General features: G+C 40.6%; 1 protein-coding gene and 1 pseudogene across 1 annotated transcript, besides 2 other annotated features; one reads left to right on the plus strand and one right to left on the minus strand.

Annotated features, from left to right (window-relative positions):
• Positions 2,450-3,788, minus strand: HNRNPA1P53 (heterogeneous nuclear ribonucleoprotein A1 pseudogene 53; annotated as a pseudogene).
• Positions 12,412-13,419, plus strand: OR52B6 (olfactory receptor family 52 subfamily B member 6). The gene has a single exon (NM_001005162.2). The coding sequence runs from the start codon at positions 12,412-12,414 to the stop codon at positions 13,417-13,419; it is 1,008 nt and encodes a 335-aa protein (NP_001005162.2).
• Positions 12,654-12,948: a silencer, noted in NCBI's record as "tiled region #4920; K562 Repressive DNase matched - State 8:EnhW". NCBI's record gives its function as "weakly represses a minimal TATA promoter and a strong SV40 promoter by Sharpr-MPRA in K562 cells {active_cell/tissue: K562}" and the evidence as "EXISTENCE:reporter gene assay evidence [ECO:0000049][PMID:27701403]".
• Positions 12,654-12,948: an enhancer, noted in NCBI's record as "tiled region #4920; HepG2 Activating non-DNase unmatched - State 24:Quies". NCBI's record gives its function as "activates a minimal TATA promoter and a strong SV40 promoter by Sharpr-MPRA in HepG2 cells {active_cell/tissue: HepG2}" and the evidence as "EXISTENCE:reporter gene assay evidence [ECO:0000049][PMID:27701403]".
• Positions 13,420-14,265: the final 846 nt, after the last annotated feature.

Here is a 14,265-nt window from a genome sequence, read left to right on the forward strand (position 1 = left end):
TCTCTCAATGTCTAAATTCTACCTATTATTTATGATTCTCGAAAGTGCTAATGTCCTCTGAAAACCTTCTCCAGGATTACTTAACCATGTTTTGAAAAGGACTGACATATCTGTGGGAATCCAGAAGTTCAGGTGCTTGTGAAGAGCTGCGAGGAGGCCCTATTCTTTCACCTGTTGCTCTCCTTAATACTCTGCAAAAGCAGGAAATGGAGGCAAAGAAAGGGTTGTAAACTGCACTGCTAAGTGTTTAATGTGTGCCTCAAAATGCCAGTGAAGCCCTTCAGCAACCTGGGACATTGATTGTTCACAAATATTTAAGAAAATCTCTGTTCATTAGCTGACCGCTAAGATAACTGAGTAGAAAATTCAGTGGCTGTACATGACAAACAAGAAAACCTTTACAGAAATAGTCCAAAAAGTGACTTAAAAAAGAAAAACCTATAATAATTAGCAACAACAGCAAATCCTGGGAATGGAGGAGAATCTACTTTCCAGGGTTATCACTTTACATTGTTTAAATTTTCCAGTTTTAACAAAAAAAATTATGAGACATTCAAAGATATAAGACATGTGATCTATACACGGGAAAAAGAAAAGTCAATAAAATCTGTCCCTGAAAAAACCCAGATGTTAGACTTATTACACAAAGACTAAATGAGCTGGCTTAAATATATTCAAAAAGCTAAAGGAAATCATGTCTATACAACTAAAGGAAAATATGAGAAAAACATCACACCAAATATTAAATATCAACAAACAATTTATAAAAAGAAGTCAAATAGACATTCTGGTGTTAAAATTTGGAAAAACTGAAGGGTGGCTGGCACGATGGCCGAATAGTAACAGCTCCGGTTTGCAGCTCCCAGCGAGATCAGTGTAGAAGGTGGGTGATTTCTGCATTTCCAACTGAGGTACCCGGCTTATCTCATTGGAACTGACTAGACAGTGGGTGCATCCCACAGAGGGCAAACCAAAGCAGGGTGGGGCATCACCTCACCCAGGAAGCGCAAGGGGTTGGTGAACTCCCTCCCCTAGCCAAGGGAAGCCATGAGGGACTGTGCCATGAGGAACAGTGCATTTCGACCCAGATACTATGCTTTTCCCACAGTCTTCACAACCTGCAGACCAGGGGATTCCCTCGGGTGCCTACACCACCAGGGCCCTGGGTTTCAAGCACAAAACTGGGTGGCCGTTTGGGCAGACACTGAGCTAGTTGCAGGAAGATATGAAATGATATGAACAGACACTTCTCAAAAGAAGACATTTATGCAGCCAACACACATATGAAAAAAAGCTCATCAACCCTGGTCATTAGAGAAATGCAAATCAAAACTACAGTGAGATACCATCTCATGCCAGTTAGAATGGTGATCATTAAAAAGTCAGGATGCAGTGAGCCGAGATTGCGCCATTGCACTCCAGCCTGGGTGACAGAGCGAGACTCCGTCTCAAAAAAAAAAAAAAAAAAAGGTCAGGAAACAACAGATGCTGAAGAGGATGTGGAGAAATAGGAACGCTTTTACACTGTTGGTGGGAGTGTAAATTTGTTCAACCATTGTGGAAGACAGTGTGGCGATTCCTCAAAGATCTAGAACCAGAAATACCATTTGACCCAGCAATCCCATTACTGAGTATACACCCAAAGGATTATAAATCATTCCACTATAAAGACACATGCACACGTATGTTTGTTGCAGCACTGTTCACAATAGCAAAGACTTGGAACCAACCCAAATGCCCATCAATAGATTATCCAATATGAAGAATTGAAAGAAAAAGACAAAAAATAAACAGAGACTCAGAAACATTTGGGACATACCCAAGTATACCACCATATTCATAGTGAGAGTCCTAGAAAGGGAGGCAAGAGAGAAAGATGCAGAAAGAATATTGCAAAACTAATGGCAAAAAAAACTCCCTAAATTTGATTTTTTTAATATGACTCTACACATTCAAGAAGCTCAAAGAACTCCACGTAGGATAAACTAGATATCCACATCATAATAATGAAAATGTTGAAAGCCAATAGCAAAAAGAAAATCTTGAAAGCATCAAGAGAGAAGTGAGTTTGTTCCAAAGCTTCTGAGCACATTTCCTTTAGAATCATTTTTATATGAAAATGCTTTCAAATAGTTCCTATTCCTCCTAAATTATTTGTCTTAATTGCCTTAGTGCCAGAGCTGGCACATAGTAAGCACTCTGGCATGGCAGTATTCACTTTCCATCTCAAAGAAGTAAAGCATTTAAATAAAATGTGTCACCTCTTTGGTAAAAAATAAAAAGTATAGACTTAAAAAAAATCGATAGGCTCATAATTCTTTGACCTTTGCTAGCTTGGTGGGTATATTCTATTTCTAGTGAGGTTGAAAATTTTTCCACACATTTCTTAGCCATTTTATTATCATTTTTATTATATTTTATAATTTCTAGTTATTTCCAGTCTTTTTTTAAGATATTTATTCAGCGTCACAATCAGACTATTACATTTAGAATTCAACAGCATAGGTGCAAAAAAAGTTAAAAATCTACACTATAACCCTTTGTTGGAATGCTTTACACTTTCCGCAGAACAGAAACTAAAATAACCTGTTATACAATTAGTCACAAATACAGTCCTCGAGTTTTTTGCCCATAAACATGAGTATTTGTCTAAAACATGTCTTCTTTGTAGCAGCTAGGCCCTGCCACCACTGTGCTTGGCTGAGTTCACAAATCTATTGTAACCTGTAGCTTCCCTGTCACTTCTCTTGCTCTCTTCTCCTGATAAGCTTTGTTTCCTAATTAAAATCTTCTGCCACTGCCATAGCTACTGCTACTACTAGAACCACCATAGCCACTTTAGTTTCGAGGTTTGGCAAAATATTGGCCTCCACCACCATAGGGGCCAGGGCTTCTGCCTCCAAAGTTTCCTCCCTTCATGGGTCTGAAATTTGAAGACTGATTGTTGTAATTGCCAAAATCACTGTAGCTTCCACCACCTCCAAAATTGCTTTCATTATTACCAAATCCGTTATAGCCATCCCCACTGCCACCATATCCACCAGCACCATGGTTGCCACCAAAGCCACCACAACCACTGAAGTTTCCTCCATGACCAAAGTTGTCATTCCCACCGAAACCACCTCCATACCACCATCAAAGTTTCCAGAACCACTTTGACCTCTTTGGCTGGCTGAAGCACTAGCCATCTCTTGCTTTCACAGGGCTTTCCTAACTTCACAGTTGTGGCCATTCACAGTGTGGTATTTCTGAATGACAATCTTATCCACAGAGTCATGGTTGTCAAAGGTTACAAAGGCAAAGCCCCTTTTCTTGCCAATGCCTCAGTCAATCACTTCAATTTTTCCATACTGGTCAAAATAATCTCTTAGGTGATGTTCTTCAGTGTCTTCTTTAATGCCACCAACAAATAACTTTTTCACAGTTAAGTGGGTCTTTGAGAATCTTCTCTTGAGACAGCTCTCTTTGGTTCCACGACTCTTCCATCCACCGTGTGTGGCCTTGCATTCATGGCTGCATCCACCTCCTCCACAGTGGCATATGTGACAAACCCAAAGCCCCTGGAGCACTTGGTGTTTGGGTCTCTCATTACCACACAATCCATGAGTGTTCCCATTGCTCAAAATGGCTCCTTCCTCAGCCTCTCATCGGTTGTTTCAAAGCTCAACCCTCCAATGAACAGTTTCCTCAGCTGTTCAGGCTCTTTAGGAGACTCTGACTTAGACATGAGGGAAGGGAGAAGAGAGACTTTGATGATGCTTCTTCGGCGGCATCCACAAGCAGAAAGGCATTTTCCGTTATTATTATTTTTTAAATTTTTTGGTTTTTTTAGACAGACTTTCACTCTTGTTGCTCAGGCTACAGTGCAATGGCATGATCTCGGCTCACCTCAACCTCCGCCTCCTGGGTTCAAGCGATTCTCCTGCCTCAGCCTCCCAAGTAGCTGGGATTACAGGCATGGACCACCACGCCCAGCTAATTTTGTATTTTTAGTAGAGAGGGGGTTTCCCCATGTTGGTCAGGCTGGTCTCGAACTCCCAACCTCAGGTGATCCGCCCGCCTCGGCCTCCCAAAGTGCTAGGATTACAGGAGGCATTTCCATTATTCATATACCTCTTAGTAAAACAGCAGCACCTTATTTTAAAAAGAGAGAGGAAAGAGAGAAGTGACTCATTATGTGCAAGGGATCCTGAATAAGATTAATGCTGATAGCACATGAGAAACCCTGAAGGTGAGCAGGCAGTGGGATGACATATTTAAAATGCTGAAAGAAAATAAATTGCCAGCTAAGAACTCCGTATCTGGCAAAATTATCCTTCAAATAGAAGATAATCTTCAAAAGAAGACACTCAACAAATTAGTATAGAATAAAACTCTCATAACCTGGTAAAGGTCATCTATGAAAAATTCACAGCTCAAATAAAAGAAAATAAAAGACACCAAGAATTGAAAATAGTAAATAAGATTATCTCTACTCACAGATGGCCTGATCTTATATATAGAAAGTGCTGGCCAGGTGCGGTGGCTCACGCCTGTAATCCCAGCACTTTGGGAGGCCGAGTTGGGTGGATCACGATGTCAGGAGATTGAGACCAGCCTGACCAACATGGAGAAACCCCATCTCTACTAAAAATACAAAATTAGCCAGGCGTGGTGGCGGGCGCCTGTAGTCCCAGCTACTAGGGAGGCTGAGGCAGGAGAATGGAGTGAACCCAGGAGGCGGAGCTTGCAGTGAGCCGAGATCGCGCCACTGCACTCCAGCCTGGGCGACAGAGCGAGACTCCATCTCAAAAAAAAAAAAAAAAAGAAAGTGCTAAATGATACACTTAAAAAATACTATTAGAACTAATAAATGAGTCCAACAATGTTGCAGATCAATATATAACACTCAGTCAATACACAAAACAAAGAGCAAAAATTATAAAACTCTTACAAGAAAACATAATGGGAGACCATCATGACCTTGGATTTGGCAAAGTATTCTTAGAAATGACACCAAAAGCATGAGCAACAAAAGAAAATATAAATTGTACTTCATCAAAATTAAAAAATAAATTGTTCTTCAAGGGACACCACTAAGAAAGTGAAAAAAAAATGACAGAATGAAAAAAAAATTGCAAATCATATATTTGATAAGGATCTTATATCTAGAATTAATAAGCAATCTTTGCCATCTTTAAAATTCAATAATAAAAAGGCAAATATCCAAAATAAGCAAAAAATTTGCATAGATATTTCTCAAAGCAGGTATGGAAATGACAAGTGAACCCATAAACAGATGATCAAAGAAATGCAAATCAAAACCACAATGAGATATCACCTCACACTTACTAAAAGATCTAGATTTAAAGTGTCAGGTAACAGCACGTGTTGGTGAGGATGTGGAGAAATTATAATCCTCATACACTGTTGGTGGGAAGGTAAAATGGTATAGCCACTTTTAAAAACAGTCTAGCATTCCTCAAACAATTAAACTCAATTTGAGTTAACATATAATTCAGCAATTCCACTTCTAGATCTATACCCAGGAGACATAAAAACATATCCACACAGAAACTGGCACACAAATGTTTTACGGCATCACAATTTATAATAGTAACCCCCAAATGAAAATAAACCAAATGTTCATCAATCCAAGGGTGGATCAATAAAATGCATTCTATCCATGCAATCAGATATTTGGCCATACAAAGGAATGAAGTACTGGCACATGCTACGAAATAGGTGAACATTGAAAACAGGTTGCTTAGTTAAAGAAACCACATTGAAAGATCACAATTGTGTGATTTGATTTAGATGAAATGTCCAGAATAGGAAAATCTATAGAGACAGATCATGGATTAGTGGTTTCCAGAGGCCAATGGGGAGGGAAGTATGTGGTGTGACGGCTAATAAGCAGGGAGATTCTCTTTGGGGTATAAAAAATGATCTGGAATTAGTAGTCATAGTTGAAAAACCTAGTGAATAAACCAGAAGCCACTGAATTTTACACTTTAAAAAAGTAAATTTTATGGTGAGTGAATTATCTATAAAAAAAAGAAAGAAAAACTAAGTTAAGCCTGGCCCAGAAAAATGAGTCATCTTAATTTTGAAAGATTCTGAGACAGATTGATACAATTTATTGTACCCTGAATACTAGTCTTTACTATTTCTGCCCTGGTTCTAATGTTATTATTTTCTTCTTACCCCTTAATCTATATTCTTGAAAGCATTGCCATTGTCATTTATTTCATCTTTAAAGTCCTTTCGTATTCATTGTTTCAATTAAGCACTCACAATAACCTTACATACTCTCTCTCTCTCTAGTACTAACTACAATTTGATACTCTTCGAAGCCTCCCCTAGCTATACCAGATGAATTATTTATCTGGATTCTGGACTCACAGCAAGTTGCACTCACTGCTGTATTGTGATTAATGGTAACTGTTCATGGTAAGGAGACATGATTTCTTCAACTATTGACCTCAAATGCTGACCCAATGAAGGGATCAATCAAGAATTGTCAAATGTTTCAGTGAGCAAGACAGGGGTAATAATCCCTGTACCTCCCTCCCTTTAGAATAATATATGAATGTAATAGATGTTTAGGGGCAGTGGAGGGGTAAATTAAAAGCTCTAAGGTAAAAAAGAAACATGGGTTTTCAGACAGACACAAAGAAGGTGATAAATTTAAAAACCCCAAGAGAAAAAGACTTTACGAAGGACACTAGGAAGAGAGAAACAAAGGTGGAATTGAAGACATGGAAAAGAACTAGTGTTGGAACAGGAAATGCAAAAACAAATTTAATGAACACTGTCAGGCCAAGAGCCTCTGAGTTGTTGCTGAGCCCTTCCCTTCTTCATATATTAAGAGTGTCTATCAATAATCTCTTCTATCTGGCTCTATGCCAAAGCATATACCATGTGCCTTAGGTCCTTGCGTTGAATGGGAGGGGGAAATCAGCCCTGATGGCGGGGGAGGGAATTGGAGCTGAGAAAGGGAAAGATACACAGAGGGAGGAGAATCCCTGCTCCCAGAAGAGAGGAGGGAATAAACACTGTATGAGGCAAGACCTGAGATTCGATTCTATATATTAAGGAAGACTGGCTGTGTATGAATTGTGGAATTGAGAAGCCGTGAATCTGAGCAGGTGACATCAGGGAGGTAAGTCTGGGTCAGATATTTTTAGGATGAAGAGGAAGTATTAATATGGAGGAATAGGATGAGAAATGGGCAATGTTCAAAGAGGGGCAGAGAGAATAATGGGTAGCTGGAATGAATTGTGTTTTCCTGAGGGGTGGAGTGGAAGAAGGGCAGTTTGGAGGGACACTTTCTAGGTAAGGTTGGAGAGACTGGATGAGTAAATAATCCTTTGCTCTCAAGGAGGATGCAAGAATCATAAATTACAGATAGATTATGTCCTGAGACACTGAGGAACAGTGGAAAGAAAACTACAGCATATGGGAGATCATGCATAAGGGATAAATGGGTCAAGTTCCTGGACAGAGGAGTCAGGTAAAGGATTCAAAAACAGGTGGTAGAAATTTACTAAAATAGCAGAAGCGATAATTTCTCCCATTAAAAAAAAATGAAAGAGAATTAGAGGATGAAGGAGGATTGCCAGAGTACAGAGAAAAGAAGATAAAGGAATGTTTGCTTGATGGTCTAGATTTCTCCGTCATTGCAGAGATTAGCCCATCTGCTGTATTGGGTCTTAGAGGAGAGGAAGGAAGAGAAGGTTTGGAACTAACATTCATATTTTGGGAACCCAATAAGGGATAAGTCAACAGATGACAAAAAAAGTTCTAATAGAAACTGCCTAGATTTGTAATAGATCGTATATATGAATTTATCAAACAAAGTATACTGCCTAAGAATGAAAACTAGGAATACAAGCCAGGATAAGGAATTGTTAGTGACTGAGGGAATTAAATGTGGTCAGTATTACTCAAGTTTCCAACCAAGGAACTCAGGCTTGCAGAGTTGAAGCCTAAAGCCAAGTGAAAGTAAATAAAATCTGCTTCCATTCTTGTAGTTAATGTATTTAATTTTGTATTTAACTTTGAATAGTCTATCTCTGACCTGATTCTACTCTAAAACATGTAAATTTCCATGGTGGCCAAGAGATGTTTAATTGGAAAAGATATATTAGAAAAGATAGGAGGTTCCAAAGATATCTGAAGGAGGAACTCGTGGACAAGGGGGTTAAGTATATATGGAGTGGAAGGTTTTTTTTACAAAGAGCTGCCAGATGGACACTTAAAGTGGCGTTACTCAGTTTTGAGGTGTGAAGACTTTAACGGATGCCTGAATTGGAGTGAAAACAGAAATTACTGGGATGGAGAACAGGGAGACACCAGATGGACACAGGCTACCTTGGAGGTTCATTATTTAGGAGGAGAACTGAAGTCAAGTTGGAGAAGAAAGATGTTTGCAAGCGCTGATGTCACCCACAAAGGTGGGAACATGTAGCAGAGGATGAACGTGATGAGTGATGGGTGCTGTGGGAAGAATGAGCACAATGGTGGCACCAACTACAGACACGAAGAGAACATGAGAACAGAAGATCTATGATAAGAAACCTGTGATTTTTGTGGTACTGGTGTGTGTTGTTGTCAGTGTAAACTTACATACATGGCTGAGTAAGTGGGAATGTACCTCCTCCACCTACTTTTGAACATTCATTAAGTGTAAATTCTAACCCAGTCAATAGCAAATGAGGCACAGTCCTGGCTCACAGAGAGCTCACAATATATTGGGACTGAAAATATTTTAGTGCAGTAAGTACAGATAGGGAGAAAGAGAGATGGCTGCAGGGGAATGCAATAGTACAGAGAAAGTTGCTGATCCAGCCATTTGGAGGGATGAGAAAAATCTTTCTGGATGAGAAATATAGACTGGCTATGTTAAAGAGGAGGATGGAAGTAGAAGAAGCAGAATGTATAAAAGACCACAGGAAAAAAAGAGTAGCTTCAGGGGCATACATGCTTTCCAGTATGAGCAAAGAAAAGAGAAAGCAGGGAGGGGGAGAGAGAGAGAGAGACAGAGAGAGAGAGAGAGAGTGTGTGTGTGTGTGTGTGTGTGTTAGTTGCATGAATCTTTCAGGCAACGGGCAGTTATTATCCTTAATCAAGATAGTGCATATGCAAAATTATCTTTTGGGAACATTGTTTAATTATGAGGAATGGTTTAGAGACTAGAAGAACTGCAGACTAGGAGACCAGTTGGGAGGGCTTTGGATAAGTGGATCTAGAGCCTGGAAAGCAACATAAATGGCAATGTAGATTTGGGAGATATTAGCACATGAAGGCTAAATGGAGCCAAGGTAGTAGACAAGATTGGTCAGAGAGAGGAAAGAGTGAGAAGAGGATTGCTACAGACCATTAGGAAACACAAACAGTAAACCATTCTGCAGGGAGAGAGATGACTTTAATGAGAGCAGGATCAGACCAGGGTACAAGAGAAGAACTGGTGGAAGGTAGAGAAATCAAAGTCAAAAGTGGTCTTTCATGGAAGAATGATTTTTAAAGGAAAGAAGAGAGACAAAACAGTAATTTAAAAGAGAGTTTAGTAGAATAAAATGTTTTTATTATAGCTGTTGTTAATTTTTTGCTTGTCTTCAAGTTAAAAATATTTGAATATTCTTTAATAAAGATCCAGGAAATCAGGAGAAGCTGAAGATAAAGACAGAGAATAATTGATGAAACAAAGTCCCTGAATTGGTAGGAAAGAAAGGTAATTCAGAGAATAGATGGGGAAATTATTCTTGACGATACAGCTACATACATTCATACACATAAACACATGTATATACATGCATATGTATATATGTACACATATGAATGCATGCATGTAAGTATGCATATGTATGTTTGTGTGTGTATAAGGTTGTTTTAAAAACAATCTAATATGTTAAATATTCATACACGAGGCCCTAGGTTCATTTCCCAGCACCTCAAAAAATAACTCAAGAAACTTGTCTTATATTTAGGTAAAGTAAAATATGTTCCAGCTATGACAAAAGAAACATTGGAAAATAGGAAAGATACTGGCACCTCTTTCTCTGGGACTGGAGGAAATGAGGGGAGGATGGATGCAGAGATAAATAAATGTACAGGAAAGGAATAATATGAGGGATATGTTCCTGATAGTCCTGAAATGTGAGTTACAAAAGAGAAACATTCAGTGGAGAGAGAAAAACAGAATTTGGGCAGTGATAAAAGTCGTATATGCCAGGTGTGGTGGCTCACATATGGGAGCCACCAGCACTTTGGGAGGCCAATGCCAGCATTTTGGGAGGCCAAGGCAGCTGGATCACTTGAGGTCAGGAGTTCAAGACCAGCCTGGCCAACATGATGAAACCCCATCTCTACTAAAAATACAAAAAAAAAATTAGCTGGGCATGGTGGTGGGCGCCTGTAATCCCAGTTATTTGGGAGGCTGAGACAGGAGAATCACTTGAACCCAGGAGGCAGAGGTTGCAGTGAGCGGAGATCACGTCATTGCACTCTAGGCAGGGAGACAGAGTGAGACTCCATCTCAAAAAAAAAAAAAAAGTCGTATATTCATTGTGAGAATAGTTCAATAGGACTAAGGAGGAATCATGTGTCCTAATATGTACTAAAGACTACTTATGTGATTGTGTCATTTTTTCACATCCTGACTATGTAAGCTGAGGATAACACTAGTTAGATTTAGTTGAAGTCTGAGAATTTACAGATGCAGGGGAAACCAATGGATACTAAAAGGTAATGATCCTGGTGGAACTGATAGACATCTAGAGTAGATAGGGAAGAAAGTTCAAAAAGTTCTTACATCAGTGGCTCACAAACTTCAGCATGAATCAGAATCACCTAGAGAGCTTGCTAAAACACAGAATGTTATCCCAACTCTAGGTTTTCTCATCCGTAGGTTTGTGGTAGGGCCGAAGAATTTACAAGTTCCCTGATGGTGCTGTGGAGACCAAGCTTCAGAAGCATTGTTCTACACCTTCCTTTCTGCTCTGGATGACAGTGCCACATTTCACAGCCACAGAGGTGACTCAGGAAGTCACACGCAATTTAATAAGCTTTCCACAGAGAAAATTTAGCTTAATATACCAACAAAACAACAATTATGCTCATTTTAAAAATTAGAAAATTGCTCACACCTGTAATCCCAGCACTTTGGGAGGCCCAGGTGGGTGGATCACGAGGTCAGGAGATCGAGACCATCCTGGCTAACACGGTGAAACCCCGTCTCTACCAAAAATACAAAAAAATTAGCCGGGCGTGGTGGAGGGCGCCTGTAGTCCCAGCTCCTTGGGAGGCTGAGGCAGGAGAATGGCGTGAGCCTGGGAGGCGGAGCTTGCAGTGAGCCGAGATCGCGCCACTGCACTCCAGCCTGGGCGACAGAGCGAGACTCCGTCTCAAAAAAAAAAAAAAAAGAAAGAAAGAAAGAAAATTGTTACTCAGAGAAGACAGTGACTTGTCCAAGATCAAGCAGCCAATAGTTAACAGGGCAGACCTCTGACCCAGGTTTTTTCACACCCTCTGCGGTGTTCTTTCTAAATGCCGTAGCTACCTTAATTGCCTTCATACTTAGCGCATCTGTGCCTAGGGAAAAATGGGTGTAGGGTTGGCAGTGCCCACCACCCCCAACCCTACTCTTTCACATAATCTGCTAATCAAATTGTTGTTTAGTCCTCTTGTTGTAGGACTGCAGTCCTCTCTGTAGGGCCTGGGGCTTTTGCAGAGCTCATTACAGTTCACATGCCCAAAGAGATTGTACAGATTGGTTTTGATGTTCTACCTATCCCTGTTCTTTTCTGGACCTATGGCACTGTGCTGAGTCTGGCAATGTTTTTGAGCCCTTTAGTTTCCTGAAAAAAAATTTTTTTTTTTTTGAGACGGAGTCTCACTCTGTCGCCCAGGCTGGAGTGCAGTGGCGCGATCTCGGCTCACTGCAACCTCCGCCCTCCAAGTTCAAGTGATTCTCCTGCCTCGGCCTCCCGAGTAGCTGGGATTACAGGCGCCTGCTACCACACCCAGCTGATTTTTTGTATTTTCAGTAGAGACAGGGTTTCACCATCTTGACCAGGCTGGTCTTGAACTCCTGACCTCGTGATCCACCAGCCTCAGCCTCCCAAAGTGCTGCGATTACAGGCGTGAGCCACTGCGCCCGGCCTAGTTTCCTGAAATTCTTAAAGCTGTGTGGAGAGCTTCTGAGTAAGAACACTGAGCCTGTCTGTGGGCAGGTCCTGTAACTGTGCAGAGCCTATGTGTAATTATTTACGGAGAATATGGCTGTGTGCAGAGCCTGTGTGTGATTATCTGTAGAGATATGCCTGTGTGCAGAAGCCATAACTGTCATCGGGCCTGTAAGTATATGCAGGCCTTGTGCATATGGACACTCTACTAATGTATTCAAAAATCTGAAGCTCTTTTTTCCCTATGGCACAGGTGAGGGCGCTGCATAAAATCATGGCCCTTTTTTCTGCTAACAGCATAGGTGCTATGAACAACTCTGACACTCGCATAGCAGGCTGCTTCCTCACTGGCATCCCTGGGCTGGAGCAACTACATATCTGGCTGTCCATCCCCTTCTGCATCATGTACATCACTGCCCTGGAAGGCAATGGCATCCTAATTTGTGTCATCCTCTCCCAGGCAATCCTGCATGAGCCCATGTACATATTCTTATCTATGCTGGCCAGTGCTGATGTCTTGCTCTCTACCACCACCATGCCTAAGGCCCTGGCCAATTTGTGGCTAGGTTATAGCCTCATTTCCTTTGATGGCTGCCTCACTCAGATGTTCTTCATTCACTTCCTCTTCATTCACTCTGCTGTCCTGCTGGCCATGGCCTTTGACCGCTATGTGGCCATCTGCTCCCCCCTGCGATATGTCACAATCCTCACAAGCAAGGTCATTGGGAAGATCGTCACTGCCGCCCTGAGCCACAGCTTCATCATTATGTTTCCATCCATCTTTCTCCTTGAGCACCTGCACTATTGCCAGATCAATATCATTGCACACACATTTTGTGAGCACATGGGCATTGCCCATCTGTCCTGTTCTGATATCTCCATCAATGTCTGGTATGGGTTGGCAGCTGCTCTTCTCTCCACAGGCCTAGACATCATGCTTATTACTGTTTCCTACATCCACATCCTCCAAGCAGTCTTCCGCCTCCTTTCTCAAGATGCCCGCTCCAAGGCCCTGAGTACCTGTGGATCCCATATCTGTGTCATCCTACTCTTCTATGTCCCTGCGCTTTTTTCTGTCTTTGCCTACAGGTTTGGTGGGAGAAGCGTCCCATGCTATGTCCATATTCTCCTGGCCAGCCTCTACGTTGTCATTCCTCCTATGCTCAATCCCGTTATTTATGGAGTGAGGACTAAGCCAATACTGGAAGGGGCTAAGCAGATGTTTTCAAATCTTGCCAAAGGATCTAAATAAATGCTTTCAACTTAGTCTCAACCCTTTTCTATACCTATCAATTGTCCCGTATTTAGCCCATTCTCACCTCTACATCTTCCAATTATCCCTGTGTTATTCTCATCGATCTCCCAATTTTTTTAAATATGTCACCTATTCAAACCCACCTCTGATTTCTTTTATTGGAAATCTTTAGTAAAATCTGTCTCATTCTCTTACTCTTCCTATTGAAATGCAATCTGATTTCCCATCACCTCAAGAAAAACTAGCTAGTTAGGGGAAATGTAAGAACCAAGTTTACATTCTAAGTGAAACCTTTTTCTAACTGCTTACATTGGCTTCCTAATGTGTTCTTAATCACTTGTATATAATTTTGACATTTGCCAGTTCAACATCTTTCTCATGACGGGAACCCCTGAGAACTGTCATATCTAAGAATTTATAGTCTCATGGAATGATATTTTTCTTACCAGTTGCACAAATTCACAATCACATACATGTATATACCCATGTTCAGAGATACTAACGCAGCAGCAGCATAAATAGGTGGACATATCCATTTATCAACTTCTATCAAATAACTCTGAACTAACCATTACCTGTTCTGGACAAAGTTTTCCCTGACATGTAGACAATTGTATAGGACTCTTTTCCATCCAAATATGCTTTGTATTTAAAAGTTATATTCATCATTAAAATTAGAAACAAAAATACCTACTCATATCTGATACCTATGGATGGATATATTATTTAATAAATAGTGAAAGAAATATAAACATCTATATGTTATTTACTAACTTGCTCAATTATAACTACTAACATCAGGAATTAGCCTAGGCTGATGTTCTCTAAGATTGAGAAGAGCAA

The sequence above is a fragment of the Homo sapiens genome, chromosome 11 (assembly GCF_000001405.40).
Source record: "Homo sapiens chromosome 11, GRCh38.p14 Primary Assembly".
In the NCBI taxonomy this organism is placed as follows: Eukaryota; Metazoa; Chordata; class Mammalia; order Primates; family Hominidae; genus Homo; species Homo sapiens.